The sequence below is a fragment of the Homo sapiens genome, chromosome 1 (assembly GCF_000001405.40).
Source record: "Homo sapiens chromosome 1, GRCh38.p14 Primary Assembly".
Taxonomy (NCBI): domain Eukaryota; kingdom Metazoa; phylum Chordata; class Mammalia; order Primates; family Hominidae; genus Homo; species Homo sapiens.
In genome coordinates this window covers 12,773,038-12,790,948 of record NC_000001.11, presented here as the reverse complement: position 1 = coordinate 12,790,948, position 17,911 = coordinate 12,773,038, and the positions used below count along the sequence as shown (strand labels likewise).

Sequence of the window (17,911 nt, the reverse complement as noted above, 5' to 3'; positions counted from 1 at the left end):
GTGTATATCGAATGGTCACCTGTGTTTTATGCTATCTAACATAGCAGATCATATGCACATTCAGGTAGAAGAAAGGAACCACTGAGGGTGTGATCTATCTCAAGACTAAGTCAAGGCTTCACTGAAGGAAATCAGGACAAAGTGACCAAGTGAGGTGGGGACTGAGCGGAATGAGACTAGGTGTTCTAATGGGAACCTGCAAAGGAAACAAGACAATGTAAAACATGGCGGTTATCTTGTGGGCATCTAGATGTCAGGACTCAAAGTCCTTTGTCAAGATTGAGTTTATTTATTGATTCTTTGATTTTCAGACTGGGCCTACATCTGTCACTCAGGCTGGAGTGCAGTGGCACGATTTCAGCTCACTGCAGCCTCAACCTTCTGGGTTCAAGCAATTCTCTCACTTCTGCCTCCCAAGTAGCTGGGAATTACAGGTGCACTCCAACAAGCCCTACTAATTTTTGTATTTTAGTCGAGATGGGGTTTCACCATGTTGGCCCGGCTGGTCTCAAACTCCTGACCTCAAGTGATCTCCTCACCTCAGCCTCCCAAAATGCTGGGATAACATGCATCAGCCATCTCACCCACCCTAGATTGAGTTCAGAAATTAAAAGGAGAATCATCAAAAGAGATAGGGCAGACTTAAACCATAACATTCACTTTGAAAACACAGGGGGCAGGTATAGTCTTGGCCCTACTAGAAGGTAAAGGGTGTTTACCCACAAAAATGATGGGCTCCTCTCAGAAAACCAGCTTGCAAAGATGGAATCTGAGAATGTGAGCTGGAGCAGAGGCCAGAGAGAAGATTGTGGCTAGACCTGGGAAGGGTGGCTGTCCCAAGCTGGAAGCCACCCAGGTAGAAACTGTGGGCTCTACAGGATGTGAGAGAGAAATGAACGAGGGTCCATATGTCCGTCATTGTTCTATCATTTGGAAACCTTTCCTTTAGACTCTGGGATCTTCCCACAGTGGAACATTTCCCAGCAACCATTGGCCCCAGTCATTTTCCAGGACCCTTCATCCAAATCTTAATCTCACCCACTCCCTTCCTACTCTAATTTGATAATTCATGTTTCCTCCTTCTTAGAGTCCTTTCCTGTCGCTAATATTGAACATAGAGATTCTTATCAGAGCATCAACATTAGGCCTACAAAGAAAGCTCAGACCCAGGCACAGTGGCTCATGCCTGTAACATCAGCACTTTGAGAGGCCAAGGTGGGCTGATCATGAGGTCAGTATATCAAGACCATTCTAGCTAACACGGTGAAACTCCGTCTCTACTAAAAATACAAAAAATTAGCCGAGCATAGTGGCAGATGTCTGCACTCCCAGCTACTCAGAAGGCTGAGGCAGGAGAATCGCTTAAACCCAGGATGCGAAGTTGCAGTGAGCTGAGATGGCGCCACTGCCTTCCATCCTGGGTGACGGCATGACACTGTCAAAAAGGAACAAAAGAAAAAGCAAGCAAGCAAGCAAGCAAGCAAGCAAGAAAGAAAGAAAGAAAGAAAGAAAGAAAGAAAGAAAGAAAGAAAGAAAGAGGGAAGGAAGGAAGGAAGGAAGGAAGGAAGGAAGGAAGGAAGGAAGGAAGGAAGGAAGGAAGGAAGGAAAAGAAAGAAAGACCTCAGGCCTCTAATCCCAGCCCTTTGGGAAGCCAAGAAAGGCAGAGTGCTAGAGCTCAGGAGTTTGTGAGGAATATGGGCAATGTGATGAAACCCTGTCTCTAATACAAATACAAGATATTAGCTGGGGGGAGGCAGTGTGCACCTGTAGGCCAAGCTGCCCAAGAAGTTGAGGTGGGAGGATCACCTGAGCCCAGTGAGGCTTCTACTTCCCATGCCCCACTTTGTAAACCTGAGGCTGAGGGTGAGCTCAGCACCAATAATGGTTGTTAGAATCTGTGTTCACTGAGCATCCACGAGGCACAACAGATGGCTGGTACCGATCATCTCGGACCTCAGCTCTTCTTCATGGAGAATCTAAGGCACGTTGCTATTTTCCCCATTTCTAACCTGATAAACCTGAGATTTGGCCAGAGAAAAACCTGCCCATGTTCTGGCAGCAAATGATTGGCAAACCCCTCAGGTGAGGGGCTCAGTGGAACGCCTAAGGTGTTCAATAAGCTAAATATTGGAAAGAACTGGCTGACTGACTCCCTCTTCCTGCCCATTTCAAGGGGTGCAGTAGCACCCCCAGGACCCCAGTGAGAATCCTGCACTTGGGGTCTTTTCTACCATGTTCTGTCGCCAGGTCTTCTCGAGGTGCTCATCTGCTGCCAAGCTCAGAGCAAGCTTCAAAACCCATCTCAGGAAACGACCTGACCTATTCTCCAATCCCAGAATCCACACTGGGATTCCAAAGCTCCTATGAGGCCCTTGCTTAGGCTCTCTAGAATATTCCTGAGCCTCTGTTTTCTCCCCCAGCCTGAGCTGATGGGGCCGGCGTCACTTTATGCATCCCAAGGCCATCAGCCCATCTCTCCTGGACTTCAGAACATGGCCACAATGCAGAGAGACCCAGCAGTAATTAAGAAATTTTCCCCAATTTATATTGAGTGATGTTGGTGAACATGGCAAGGCACAAAGCAGGAAACTCCACAGCTGCTGCTCTGGACCTAAAGAGGCACCCTGGACTTCTGGGTGGTGACACTGCCTGGCTTGCAGAGGAAGACCTGACCCCTCTGGTCTTCCAAGGCTGCCAGGATGATGACAGAGCCTTCGACAGGTCCCAGCACAGGGGCCATCCCTTCCCAGGTTCCCCTGGTCCAGCCTTAGAGCTGATAAAGATGCACCTGGAATGCAGTAAGTATTTTTTTGTCCAAGCCATGTCTCTTCTTAGCCTTAGGTGAGGCTTTTTTCAGCTGGGTGCTATGGAAGAACCCGAAGCCCAGTGGGCATCACTGCAATGGCCACATGGTAAGTATGTGTGTGTGTGTGTGTGTGTGTGTGTGCGGCCACCTAGAAAGGCACAACTCTACCTGACAGAGATGGTTCCATGGAAGAGAAAAGTAAAACATCCAATGTCCCTGGTAGGACAACTTCCTCTGGGAGTCCAGCAAGAAGACGTGGGATCTGCGGACAAGAGATCCCTGGGTAAAAGCCCTCATTTGAGGATAAGAGTAAAGTTGAACCTTAGACCCTGAGGGATCTATGCCCTTCCCACAGGGCTGCAGCGGAGCCAGCCTTGACTCCCAGGCACAATAGCCCAGAGAGATCTTCGGAGGGAAGTAAACCTGCTGGGGCCTCAGGGCTCAGAAAAAGCCCTGGACCTATCTCCCAGTCATGCCTCTCCCACTCCCAAGTGCCTCTGGCCCTGGAACTGTCAGAGACCCCTGTGTCTTTTCCATGTGCTCTTCTTCTCCTTTCACTCAGCCCTGCCTTTGCCAATGCTCCCTGCATTTGCCTCCATGTAGGGCCCCCAACCCCAAGCTCTGGCAGTGGCTGGGGAGCTAGGGGTTTTTGTGCCCACCTGGAGAAAGCCTCACTCAGCATGGGCCCGTGTGGGTTCTGCAATCTTTTCCTACACAGGGTCACCTACAGGTGTTATAGATGCATCTCCCCTAGAAGAGCCAACGGGGATGGGTGAGGAATCTGAAATCACTCAGGCACCCCACATACAAATGAGAGCCAGGGTCCCTGCAAGCACAGGCCCCGGGGTAGGTCCTGGCCCTTGTTGTTGCCTTCTGATCCCAGAGGCCTTGGGTTTGTGGTCACAGGAGCCCTACCTACTTCCCATGCACCCCCAGCCCAAGATAAACAAATTCCTGCAGCCTCCCCGGTCCATGTACTTGAGATCTCCAGATCGTGCCACTTCACTCCAACCTGGACGACAGGGCGAGACTCGGGGCCAAAAAAAAAATTAGCTGAGCATGGTGGCAGGCACTTGTAGTCCGAGCTATTTGGGAGGCTGAGGTAGGAGAATCGCTTGAAGCCAGGAGGCAGAGGTTTCAGTGAGCTGAGATAGAGCCACTACACTGCAGCCTGGGAAATAGAGCAAGACTCCGTCTCAGGAAAAAGAGACAAGAAAAAGAGAAAATCAGAAGCACCGAGCTGTGTTTTTAATGAGGTCCTGCCCCAGGAAGTCAGGCATCCAAATGAAATTTCCTCATTTTTATCAATTCCCTTCTGTTCTTTACTTCTCTTTATAAATCTATTACCTACTTGCTTTGTTCTGTGGCTGATCAGTGGGTGAATACCCACAAGATGCACACACAGGGCCGGGAACATTCTATGTGGGCAAAGAGTGTGAGTCACTCAAGTAAAGCCCCTTCTCAGGGTCCCTCCCTGCTAACCAGATGCTGAGACCCTGTTCAGTCCTAATGGGCAGATTGAGAAGAATCCATTTCTGACCATTAGCTGTGCTGGGACAGAGATTCACTGCACAAGGCATGGCCCCTGCTTTGGAAGGGGACATTCACATCATTGATTACCTGGAGCTTCAGGGCATCACCAACCCATACCTGTCATCATGGTGGGCAGTGCTCCTTCCTTAATTAAACTAGTTGTGTCTTATAAAGATATCAAAATTCCCTTTTAGCAAAATACTACCTATAATATATAAATATGGCCAGGCGTGTTGGCTTATACATATAATAGTAGCACTTTGAGAGGCTGAGGCAGGAGAATCACAAGATCAAGAGATCGAGACCATCCTAGCCAACATGGTGAAACCCTGTCTCTACTAAAAATACAAAAATTAGCTGGACATGTTGGCACATGCCTGTACTCCCAGCTGAGGCAGGAGAATTGCTTGAACTCAGGAGGTGTAGGTTGCTGTGAGCTGAGATTGTGCCACCACACTTCAGCCTCATGACAGAGTGAGACTCCATCTCAAAAACAAAACAAAACAAAACAATATATAAATACTAATAATCATATAGACATAAAACATGGTTTAAATATTTCTTTACCACATTCAAAAATCAAGCATGCTTTTTGGGGGCCAGGTCATATTGATGAGAGATCCCTTCTTAACACCCTTCCCATATCTAGCAGACTAAAGAAGAAGAATAGTGTATGCAGGGAAAAGAAAGAGAGATCAGACGGTTACTGTGTCTATGTAGAAAAGGAAGACATAAGAAACATCATTTTGATCTGTACCCTGACTTTGCCCTGAGATGCTGTTAATCTGTAACTTTAGCCCCAACTTTGAGCTCACAGCAGCATGTGTTGTATAGAATCAAGGTTTAAGGGGTCCAGGGCTGTGCAGGATGTGCTTTCCTAGCAAAAGGTTTACAGGCAGTATGCTTGATAAAAGTCATCACCATTCTCCATTCTCAAGTAACCAGGGGTGCAATACACTGTGAAAAACTTCAGGGACCCCTGCCCTGGAAAGCCAGGTATTGTCCAAGGTTTCTCCTCATGTGATAGTCTGAAATATGACCTCATTGAATGGGAAAGACCTGACCTTCCACCCAGCTTGACACCCATTAAGGGTCTGTGCTGAGGAGGATTAGTAAAGGAGGAAGGCCTCTTGCAGTTAAGAGGAAGGCTTCTGTCTCCTGCCTGCCCCTGGGAACTGAATGCCTCAGTATAAAACCTGATTATACATTTGTTCTATTCTGAGATAGGAGAAAAACTGCCTGTGGTGGGAGGCGAGACATGTTGGCAGCAATGCTGCTTTGTTACTCTTTACTCCACTGAGATGTTTGGGTGGAGAAAAGCATAAATCTGGCCTATGTGCACATCCAGGCATAGTACCATCCCTTAAACTTATTTGTGACACAGATTCCTCTGCTCACATGTTTTCTTGCTGATTTTCTCCCCACTATCACCCTGCTCTCCTGCCACTTTTCCCTTACTGAGTTAGTGAAAATAGTAATCAATAAATACTGAGGGAACTCAGAGACCAGTGGCGGTGTGGGTCCTCCGCATGCTGAGCACCAGTCCCCTGGGCCCATTTTTCTTTCTCGATACTTTGTCTCTGTGTCTTATTTCTTTTCTCAGTCTCTTGTCCTGCCTGATGAGAAATACCCACAGGTGTGGAGTGGCTGACCCCCTTCATATGGCGCCCAACATGGGCCTTTCTCTAGGGTGAAGGTACACTAAAAACGTGAGCATTGAAGACAGTCAACGAGAGATTCCCAAGTACTTCCATGGTCAGCCATGCGGTAAGCTTGTGCGCTCAGTGGAACTCAGGGTAACAATGGGACAAACTGAAGGTAAATATGCCTCTTATCTCAGCTTCATTAAAATTCTTCTAAGAAGATGGGGAGTTAGAGCTTCTACAGAAAATCTAATTATGTTATTTCAAACAATAGAACAATTCTGCCCATGGTTTCCAAAACAGGGAACTTTAGATCTAAAAGATTGGGGGAAAATTGGCAAAGAATTAAAACAAGCAAATAGGGAAGGTAAAATCATCCCACTTACAGTATGGAATGATTGGCCCATTATTAAAGCAACTTTAGAACCGTTTCAAATAGAAAAAGACAGCCTTTCAATTTCTGATGCCCCTGAAAGATGTGTAGTAGATTGTGAAGAAGAGGCAGAGACAAAATCCCGGAAATTAATGGAAAGTTCACATTGTAAAAATGTAGCAGAGTCTGTAATGGCTCAGTCAACGCAAAATGTTGACTACAATCAGTTACAGGAGGTAGTATATCCTGAATCATCAAAACTGGTGGAAGGAGGTCCAGAATTATTGGGGCTACCAGAGCCTAAACCACCATGGCCATCAACTCCTCCTCCAGTGGTTCAGATGCCTGTAACATTACAACCTCAAATGCAGGTTAGACAAGTGCAAACCCCAAGAGAATATCAAGTAGAAAAGGATAGAGTCTCTATCCCGGCAATGCCAATTCAGATACAGTATCCACAATATCAGCTGGTAGAAAATAAGACCCAACCACCGGTAGTTTATCAATACTGGCCGCCAGCTGAGCTTCAGTATGGGCTGTCTCCGGAGGTTCAATACAGACCTCAAGCTGTGTGTCCCGTGCCACATAGCACGGCACCTCACCAGCAACCCAGTGGTGTTTAATCCTACATCACCACCTAGTGGACAAGGTAGTACACTGCATGAAATCATTGATAAAGCCAGAAAACAGGGAGATCTTGAGGCATGGCAGTTCCTTGTAATTTTACAACCAATACCAGCTGGGAAAGGGGGGCAAGCTGGAGCGTCTGTCCAAACTGAGGCTAGATATGAATCTTTCACCATGAAAATGTTAAAAGATATGAAGGAAGGAGTTAAACAATATGGACCCAACTCCCCTTATATGAGAACTTTATTAGATTCCATTGCTCATGGAAATAGACTTATTCCCTATGATTGGGAAACGTTGGCTAAATCTTCCCTTTCACCCTCTCAGTTCCTACAATTTAAAACCTGGTGGATTGATGGAGTACAAGAACAGGCATGAAAAAATCAGGCTATTTATCCCGCTGTTAATATAGATGCAGATCAATTGCTAGGAACAGGTCCAAATTGGAGCACAATTGGCCAACAATCAGTAATGCAGAATGAGGGTATTGAACATCTAAAGGCTCTTTGCCTCAGGGACTGGGAAAAAATTCAGGACCCAGGCACCTGGGTGCCCCACGCACCGCTTGCCCAGGCATCGCTTGCCCAGGCACTGCTTGCCCTTCTTCTAATTCAATTAGACAAGGCTGTAAAGAGCCATATCCAGACTTCGTGGCAAGGTTGCAAGATGCCTCTGAAAAATCTGTTTCAGATGATAATGCCCAAAAAGTTATTGTAGAAATAATGGCTTTTCAAAAGTCAAATCCAGAATTTCAACCAGCCATAAAGCCATTAAAAGGAAAAGGTCCAGCAGGAGTTGATGTAATTACAGAATATGTGAAAGCTTGTGATGGGATTGGAGGAGCTATGCGTAAGGCAATGCTAATGGCTCAAGCAATGACCGGAGTCACTTTAGGAGGATAGTTAGAGCATTTGGGGGGAAATGTTATAATTGTGGTCAAATCGGTCATCTAAAAAAGAACTGCCCAGTCTTAAATAAACAGAGTAAAAATAAAGAGCCACCTGGCCTGTGTCCAAGACATGGAAAAGGAAAACATTGGGCTAATCAATGTCGTTCTAAATATGATAAAAATGGGCAACTATTGTCAGAAAAAGGGGTGAGGGGCCAGCCTCAGTCCCAACAACAAACTGGGGCATTCCCGATTCAGCCGTTTGTTCTTCAGGGTTTTCAGGGACAGCAACCCCCACAGCAAATACCACCACTTCAGGGAATCAGCCAATTACAACAATACAACAGCTGTCCCCCGCCACAGCAGGCAGCACAGCAGTAGATTTATGTTCCACTCAAAAGGTTTCTTTACTCCCTGGAGAGACCCCGCAAAAGATTCCTACAGGGGTATATGGCCCACTGCCAGGAGGGACAGTAGGCCTCATTTTAGGGAGATGAAGTCTAAATTTGAAGGGAGTCCAAATTCATACTGGGGTAATTGATTCAGATTATAAAGGGGAAATTCAGTTAGTGATCAGCTCCACTGTTCCCTGGAGTGCCAATCCAGGTAATAGAATTGCTCAATTATTGCTTTTGCCTTATATTAAAATTGGGAAAACAAAACGGAAAGGACAAGAGGGTTTGGAAGTACCAACTCTGCCAGAAAAGCCACTCAATGGGCTCGTCATGTCTCAGAGAATAGACCTGTGTGTACAGTCACTATTCAGGGAAAGCAGTTTATAGGATTATTGGATACCGATGCTGATGTTTCCCTTATCGCCTTAAATCAATGGCCAAAAAATTGGCCTAAACAAAAGCCTGTTACAGGACTTGTCGGTGTGGGCAGCGCCTCAAAAGTGTATCAAAGCACCATGATTTTACATTGTCTAGGACCTGATAATCAAGAAAGTACAGTTCAACCTATGATTACTTTTATTCCAAATAATTTTTTGGGCCGAGACTTGTTACAACAATGACATGCAGAGATTACTATCCCAGCCTCCTTATACAGCCCCACGAGTCAAAAAATCATGACTAAAATGGGATGTCTCCCTGGCAAAGGACTAGGGAAAAATGGAGATGGCATTAAAATCCCAATTGAGGCTGAGGGAAATCAAGAAAGAAAAAGAATAGGATATCCTTTTTAGGAGTGGCCACTGTAGAGCCTCCAAAACCCATTCCATTAACTTGGAAAACAGAAAAACCTGTATGGGTAAATCAGTGGCTGCTACCAAAACAAAAGCTGGAGGCTTTACACTTACGGGCAAAAGAACAATTAGCAAAGGGACATATTGAGCCTTCATTTTCGCCTTGAATTCTCCTGTGTTTGTAACTCAGAAAAAATCCGGCAGATGGCACATGTTGACCGTCTTAAGAGCCGTCAATGCTGTAATTCAACCTATGGGGGCTCTCCAACCTGGGTTGCCCTCTCTGGCCATGATCCCCAAAGATTGGCCTTTAATTATAATTGATCTGAAGGATTGCTTTTTTACCATTCCTCTAGCAAAACAGGATTTTGAAAAATTTGCTTTTACTATACCAGCCATAAATAATAAAGAACCAGCCACCAGGTTTCAGTGGAAAGTGTTGCCCAGGGAATGCTTAATAGTCCAACTATTTGTCAGATTTTTGTAGCTGAAGCTCTTCAACCAGTTAGAGACAAGTTTTCAGACTACGTCTTTCATTATGTTGATGATCTTTTGTGTGCTGCAGAAACGAGAGACACATTAATTGACTGTTACACATTTCTGCAGACAGAGGTTGCAAACGCAGGACTGACAATAGCATCTGATAAGATTCAAACCTCTACTCCTGTCCATTACTTGGGAATGCAGGTAGAGGAAAGAAAATTTAAACAACAAAAAATAGAAATAAGAAAAGACACATTAAAAACATTAAACGACTTTCATAAATTGCTAGGAGATATTAATTGGATTTGGCCAACTCTAGGCATCCTTACTTATGCCATGTCAAATTTGTTCTCTATCTTGAGTGGGGATCCAGAATTGAATAGTAAAAGAACATTAACTCCAGAGGCAACTAAAGAAATTGAATTAATTGAAGAAAAAATTCGGTCAGCACAAGTAAATAGAATAGATCACTTCGCCCCACTCCAACTTTTGATTTTTGCTACTGCACATTCTCAACAGGCATTATTGTTCAAAATACAGATCTTGTGGAGTGATCTTTCCTTCCTCACAGTACGATTAAGACTTTTACATTGTACTTGGATCAAATGGCTACATTAATTGGTCAGGCAAGATTACAAATAATAAAATTGTGTGGAAGTGACCCAGATAAAATCATTGTTCCTTTAAACAAGGAAGAGTTTAGACAAGGCTTTATCAATTCTGCTGCATGGCAGATTGGTCTTGCTGATTTTGTGAGAATTACTGATAAGCATTACCCAAAAACAAAAATCTTCCAGTTTTTAAAATTGACTACTTGAATTTTACCTAAAATTACCAGACATAAACCTTTAGAAAATGCTCTGATGGTGTTTACTGATGGTTCCAGCAATGGAAAAGTGGTTCACACCAGGCCGAAAGAACGAGTCATTGAAAATCAGATTCTGCATATGTAGCACAGCTACAAAGGATGTTGAGACAGCCCTAATCAAATATAGTATGGATGATCAGTTAAACAAGCCCTTTAATTTGTTACAACAAATTGTAAGAAAAAGAAATTTCCCATTTTATATTACTCATATCTGAGCACGTACTAATTTACCAAGGCCTTTAACTAAAGCAAATGAACAAGCTGACTTGCTAGCATCATCTGCATTCATAGAAGCACAAGAACTTCATGCTTTGACTCATGTAAATGCAACAGGACTAAAAAATAAATTTGATATCACATGGAAAGAGGCAAAAAATATTGTATAACATTGCACCCAGTGTCAAGTCCTACACCTGCCCACTCAGGCGCACTGGGACAAAGTTTTTCTGTGAGTTCATTATAAGAATGATGCCAGCAGAGAGAAATTTGGGAACCAACAGCTACAATGTCTCACATGTAAGAGGGCACCTCCTCATTGTTACGGGACTAGGGAAACCGTGGATTGTCTTTATTATTTCAGATGAGATGGAAGCTTTCCCTGCACTTGGATTATGTCCTAAGTAAGGACCTTTTCTCTAGAGAATGGAAAAGTTTTCATGGAGGTCTTAGGGCCCTTGTAAGCTTACTGCTCTAAAAGATAAATGGAATCTATTAGAGTGTCCCTTGGTAAGAGAACATAACTGCACACCTACTGCATATTGAATGAGAGTGGAATTTCTAGGGAATGGTAAGGTTAACAGGTCCTGGTGTTATCCCTGCGAGAACTATGATGGGACTCCAGTGAACCCCTGTGGCGTTACAACCCAGGCGTGTTGCTGAATTTTTCAAGTAAAGGCCAACAAGTATTGGCTCTCCTCATCAACAGGAATCCTAAGGAAGGCAGAGGAGAAATCTCTCACTGGGTACCATTTAGAGTCTGTAGTCACCTTACATAACAAGATATTTCATGTGAAGCCACAGTATATCTCACTATTACAATTTTCTTTATTGCATGTAAGTCTTGCACAAATCATTAACCTTGTCAGTTAGGTTTTATATCTGGCAGGATGGAAGGGTTACATGGATTGGGACAAGGAATTGTAAGTCCTTGTTCTATTAAATCTTCTCCAATTGGGGAAAGTCTTTGGATTACCTCTGACTTTAAGGGGTATTGGGGCAACATGGCCAATTATTTAGAATAGCCAACAAATGAATAGTGACACTCCATAAACATTTACATAATAGCAGATTTTTGGAAGTACCACTTAATATACTCCTGCTTTCATCACTAAATTACACCAGACGGTCTAACTAAATTACAGCAGATGGCACATGAGTCCCGTGGTTTGGAAATTTTTATCTCATGATCACTAGAGATGAATTCAGTCCTGCACTGCCCACCCCGTTCTTTGCTGGTTGTTGAGGTCCTGCTGTTTACAGGAATCATGATTAAGCGGTGGCGGCGTGTAGAAGCTGAGTCCCATTGCATGCCCTGGGTCCCTACTGCCTCCCTGTTATGAGGAATAGGAGGTGAGATTGAAGGATGAAGAATGCTGAGACTTTTATTAGGAGGAAAAAAGAAAGACAGGATGCATGTATTAAGCTTTTACTGTATGAAAGGCCCCATTCCAAGTCATAACCATGTACCATCTCACTGTGTCCTAAGAGGGTCCCACAGGCTGGTGGGCATAATCCTTCTCATTCTACAGGAAAATTGAGGCTCTTTCCTCAGCTTCCTGCCCAACAGCACCAGCCCCTGTGTCCTCAGCAGGGTCCCACACTCGGGAGCCTTTTGTGTAGGGTCCCTCAGCACAGCGAAGGTCACTCATCACCCACAGGCACTTGATCATTATCCACCCTCTGATGACGTGTGATACCCAAACACACTGCACTAGTCTTCCTTGAGAGGGAGAGAAGGCAAGTGTTATGGGAAAATCTCATCAATATGACCTAGCTCCCCAAAAGGATAAAATGTTTGTTAAATGTGGGCTAGAAATGTTTAAAATGTACTATATGCCTGCATAATTTAAGCATTTTCCCAAAAAGGGAATTTGGATGTCTTTATTGGCCACAACTATTTTAATATTGCAAGGGTCACTACCCTCCATGAGAACAAGCATGGGTTGGTGATGCCCTGAGGCTCCTGCTCATACAGTGTGGAGCTCCCCTTCCAGGGCAGAGGCCACACCTTGTGCAGTGAAATCCTTTCCCAGCACAGGTAATGGTCAGCAACTGAGCGTTCTGAATCCACCCATCAGGAGTAAACAGGGTCTAAGCATCTGGACAAAAGTGAGGGCCCTGCGAAGAAGGGGCTGAACTTCAGTGACTGACCCTCACTGCCCACCTAGAATGGTCCAGGCCCCGTAAGTGCATCTCACGTGTATTAACCCACTAAATAGACACATGCCCAGAGAGAAATTAAAAAAAAAGGAATTGAGCAAAACGATCACATTCCACTTTGATGCCTTTATTTCCTTGGGCTGAACCTCATTAATTTTAGAGAACTTAGTGCCTTTTGTCCCCCATGAGTAACTTGAGATTCCTTAGGTTAAAATTGTTAAGCCAGGTGAAGCAATCATGGAGGACACCAGACAGTTTCCACTCAGCTTCCCTTTATTTCTGACTGTTTCTTTACAACCATCCGTGCAGGGGTAACTGTCTCATGTGTCTCTCCTACCTGATTCTCATTCTAGCAATTCAGATTCCCATTTCTGATTCTCTGGGACACAGGTCTCTAAAGCTCCTATTGACTCCAACTCAACTTTTCCCCCAGTCCCTCCCTTCCTGCATCCCCTTTCCTTTCCGGTTCACATTGAGCAGGCATATGAAACGATGGGTCTGTGCTCCCTTTGACATACACTCATGGCCTAGGATTCAGTTGCCAAATGACCAGAAGAAAGCTTTAAATAAATCCACCCTGACAGCAGGCATTCAACAGACAGTGACTGGGCTCCAGGTCATAGGAGGCCCTGATGCCACAGCGAGGGCAGGGGACAGTGCTGAACACAATTATCTTGGGCTGCCTTAAGTCCCTCAGTGTCTTCATCAGCTCAGCCCCAAGTTGAGAAAATCTTCCCCAGCAGAGAGCACCCTGGGCATCATAACTCTCCAGAGGGGCAGGATACAGCTCCAGGCTTAGCTTGCTCAGCCCGACGGTGTGGCGCAGCAGGTTCTCCAGGGCGGCCATGGAGATGAGGTTCCCACAGAAGCTGAAGGTGCTGAGCTGGGAGCAGCGGCTCAGGGCAGGCAGGATGGCGCTGAGTTGGGAATCCACGATCCCACAGTCCTCTAAGTCCAGGGTCTGCAGGGTGGCCTCAGCTTGCTCCAGCAGAACTGAGAGGGGCTCAGGACTGAAATGGGTCAGTGTGATGCCCCTCAGGTCTAGCTCTTTTAGCTGACGGATGCTCGGGCACCAAGAGAGATGCTTCAGGTCCGACTCTGACAGCAGGCATTCGGTCATTACGACTGTCTCCAAGGGGGCCTGGAGACACCTGGGAGAGAACAAGAAGGAGTTAGAGGAGAGTGGTGGGGAAGACCTCAAGGTGAGAGATGACACTTTTCACAACCCAAGGCTGTTCTGCTTATCTGAGGATAATCAGCACCTGGGGTGTGGGAATGGAGACTCTGCTCATTCAGGGCAGACCCAATCGAGGCTCAGTCCTTCACCATCACTCGGGTGACTGGGTCAAGTCCATGAACTCTAATGCTCCCTTTCCTCATGTGTCAGGTAGAAAACCACATCTCTGGGCCACAGGAGCCCGATGGAGACACAGGCATAAATGACAAACCCAGGCAAGATCCTGCAACCTCAGCTGGGGTGGCCAGGCTGCAGGAGACCCTGACATGCCCGTATCATCAGCAAACCATCTATCACTTTCACCATTCTTCACTCCTGCTCCCTCACCCTCTATTCCATCATGTTTTGGAGCTCAAAACATTTTACTGACAGAGGGAGACACAGGATTTTACCTGTTCACTAGGCAGGTGAGGACAGACCTTATATTTTAAAATGGAGGGGTGTGATGGACATTCTCTTCTTTAGTGCCCTCTTCAACTCCCCATTTCCCATCGTCTTAACTTAGACACACATCCTCGGGAGGAATTCACGAATGCACCCTCACTAGATCTAAACCCTGCAGTACCTTCCTAGCATGGCAGCCTCTCTATAGCATCTAGCCCAGGAGATCCCGCTGGCTTATTGGGATGGATGTGTGACACCTATTTCAGGACAGAGCTGCCAACAGGACAATGCATGGACATTCTAGTGTCCCCTTCGCTGTTACCTCCTCACAAGCTGGCTCACAGTAGATACCCCCTGGTGTTTACAGTAATAAAGAAAGTCTTTGCTGCGGTCTGCAGAGAAAGCTCACCATACTTCCTCACCTGAGCAGCTGGTCCAGGTGGCCTTCGAGGAAAGAGACAGAGTGCATGTAAAGCTTCTGGAAGTAGTCCAGCTTGAGGAACTGAGAGGTGAACTGGATGACAAACTGCTCCTTCCTGTCTAGGGGAATGCAGGCAGAGACATGGATGTTGAAGAGAACAAGTTTGCGGAGATTCCTCATCTGGCCCAGGTAAGGGGCGAACCTTATAAGAATGGACAGCTCCCACGGGCAGCACACTTCCACCTCCTGGATACAGTCTAGCTCCACCGTGTTCAGGACCTCTATGATCCTGTGGATGGCTATTCCAAAAATCTGCAGCTCCTTGCAACACACGTGCAGTAAGCCTTTTCTCTGCTTGCCCCACTCTAAGAAGTGGGTGAGGCATTCATCCAGCGTCCCATTCTTGAAGCAAAGGTCTAGGATCACCATCAAGGGCTGCTGCCCACCCGGCCTTGGACAGTTCCCTGCTGTTCGTCTCTTACTCAGGGCCTCTGGGGAGAGTGCAGAAGCTCCAGACCATATGCCCCAGAAGTTCTCATCCACATTCCGCAAGTCCAACACTTGAAGTTTCCACCGCCTGTGGGTAAAAGAGAAGAGAGGCTCCAAATTTAGGAAGGATTTGAGCTTTTATCCACATCCCGGACATCAGCGACTCTCCTCCCTGCTGCTTCTCCCACTCTCTGTCTTTTCTCCATCCCTCTTTCTCCTTGAAACCTGCCTGGTCCCCACTGCTAGTGTCTTCAATTGCCACTGGCAGGAGGCAGGTTCCTGATCCTTCAGTGGACCCTGCATGGTGAGCAGTCCTTTCCCAGAGGAGCTGGACAATGGCCAAGGCCTCTCTGAGCTTCCTCCCCAGCCCCATCAGAAGTCTCTGGGCCACCCTTGGGCCTCCCACTCCTTCTGACCCAGCTAACCCTACCCTGGATGCCTGAGCCCTCCCCACCTGGTTAGCTGGGTCACCTCACCTGGGGCGAACCTTCTGGGCAAGCAGTGCATCAAGCCCCTCCAGCACAGCTCGAAAGATCTCTAGATTACATGACTTCATCAGGGACCCTAGAGGAAGGCAGGTGAAGGGCCAGGCCTGCACCATAGTTGTCAGGGTCTCGCAGCATCTCCTGGTAAAGGCCTCCATGAACAGTGGGGGAAAGAGCTCCCTGGGCAGCTCCTCCAGGGTGGGGATGGCCAAGGCCCGGTCTCTCAGCAGACTCTGCTCAGCCAGCTCCAGGAGTCTAGGTGGGGCCTGGAGGCTCATCCTGATGAATCTAGAGAAAAAAACATCATTCTTACGGCAAATCACATCACTTCATCATCTCCTAGTGCCAATGTCATTGCTCTGGTAGAGGTGGAAAGGTAATTAGTTCACCCCAATTCCACTCTGCACTTTCTGGACACAAATCTGTAATTCTGCCCTTGCTGGTACCATAAAGAATGTCTTCCAAACAATGAGGAGAGGGCAAGGTAACCACTGGCCCATTCATTTTCAACCATTGCTGCACTAAATCTCAGTAACACTGGGAAGCGTTGCTGAGGATCCTGAAAGCTAAGCTCCACCTTTTTGAGAAAATATTTCTTGTCACTTACCACCCTAAAACAATGGGAACGAGAATGTCCTGTGGCCCCACACAGCCTACATTCTCAGTTCCCACAATTGACATGCTTGCAGAAGACTAAAGGGACTCCTTGGAATCAGCGCCATTATTTTTTATTTTGAAAAATTGTAACAAGAAATTGTAAAAACAGCATGACAGTGTTCTAGAGCCTGTGAAAGTTAGGGATAAAAACACTAACTCTCAGATGAAGGTTCCAATGTTGATCTCTTACACAGACTCACAATGACCCACTTTGGGATGGAATCTAGGGGAAAAAAATGGGTCCCATGTTCAGAACAAAGACTCCACTCTTGAGAATGGCCTATGGAATATCTTTAAGGTATTAGTAAAAACTAAGGCCTAACATGTAAAATCACGATGCCACCAAGTCTATGAACTATAATTTAAGGGCACAAAAACCAATTATTTCAAATGTCACGAAATAAAAATTCAACCAGTTGTAACTTTTTAATATCTCTTGTTAAAAAAAAAACTGCTTCAATAAGAATTTTGAAATGACAAAAACCAAGCACAAATCCAATTTTGGGGGATGAAGACAAAACTACATTTAGAGGAAAAATCAAAGCCTAAATTTGTTCTTCTGAAAACAGACAAGAAAATTCTCTCTGCCACCTTGGGCTGCATGTCACCATCCCTGACTGGCTGGCTGGCTGCAGATCAGATGGGCATGACCCTAAGGAGGTGGTGACTTACCAGATCTGGACTCAGTTTGCAGGGTGCTGCAACCTCTCAGAGAACCGAGCAGTAGCTCCAGGTGTCAGCGCCTTGGATTCTCTCCTGTGCACCTTCGGGAGCTTTTATGGACCTTTCTAACCACACCCTCCCCATCTCAACAACCAACTTCCAATCAGAAAATGATGTCTGATTAGATTCTGAAGTTCCACCCAGTTAATCCTGATTGAGTTTGCGACTTTCTTCTGATTAATTGATTGGATCAGATATACGTTTATGAAAGTGAAAGATATAAATAATAGGGTGAAAGTCCACAACTCATTCATTCCTTTATTCCACAAACACTGATGGAGTTTGACTGACATGAGAGCTTCATAGTGATGCAGGAAAGGGTTGAATCTGTTTCTGGCATTTGACAGAAAAAACAAAACCTGAAGGTATCTTTGCTGGGGGATCTTTGGCCACATAAACATTATCAAAATGTCTCAGAGCTAAAACAGCTCTAAGAAGACAGTAATTTCATCCCTAAGAAAGCAGAATAAATATCTCTGCGTATCCAGTGGTCAGCTGGGATTTACGCTTTCTAACATGGTAGATCATATGCCCATTCAGGTGGCAGAGGGGAACCACTGAGGGTGTGATTGATCTCAAGACGAAGGTTCAGGCTTCTCCGGAGGAAATTAAACCAAAATTACAAAGTGAGGTGGGGGCTGGGCAGGATGGGACCGGGTGTTCTAATGGGACCCTGGGAAGGAACCAAGACAGCATAAAACATGGTGGGTATTTTGTGGGAGAGGAGA

General features: G+C 45.7%; 1 protein-coding gene across 1 annotated transcript; it reads right to left on the bottom strand.

Annotated features, from left to right (window-relative positions):
* Positions 13,043–17,211, bottom strand: PRAMEF12 (PRAME family member 12). The gene is made up of 3 exons (NM_001080830.5): positions 15,795–17,211; positions 14,831–15,406; positions 13,043–13,938 (listed from the first exon to the last, which is right to left on the bottom strand). Exons 1-3 carry the CDS (start codon positions 16,079–16,081, stop codon positions 13,350–13,352), a joined length of 1,452 nt encoding a protein of 483 aa, NP_001074299.2. The 5' UTR covers positions 16,082–17,211; the 3' UTR covers positions 13,043–13,349.
* Positions 17,212–17,911: the final 700 nt, after the last annotated feature.

Bases quoted from the DNA above. Each gene is read 5' to 3' on its own strand.
- PRAMEF12 (NM_001080830.5), bottom strand. From the start codon at position 16,081: ATGAGCCTCCAGGCCCCACCTAGACTCCTGGAGCTGGCTGAGCAGAGT. The intron at 15,407-15,794 runs GTGAGGTGACCC...TTTTACCCACAG, and splicing joins GCCCAGAAGGTTCGCCCCAG to GCGGTGGAAACTTCAAGTGT. The intron at 13,939-14,830 runs GTGAGGAAGTAT...GTTCTCTCCCAG, and splicing joins CACCTGGACCAGCTGCTCAG to GTGTCTCCAGGCCCCCTTGG.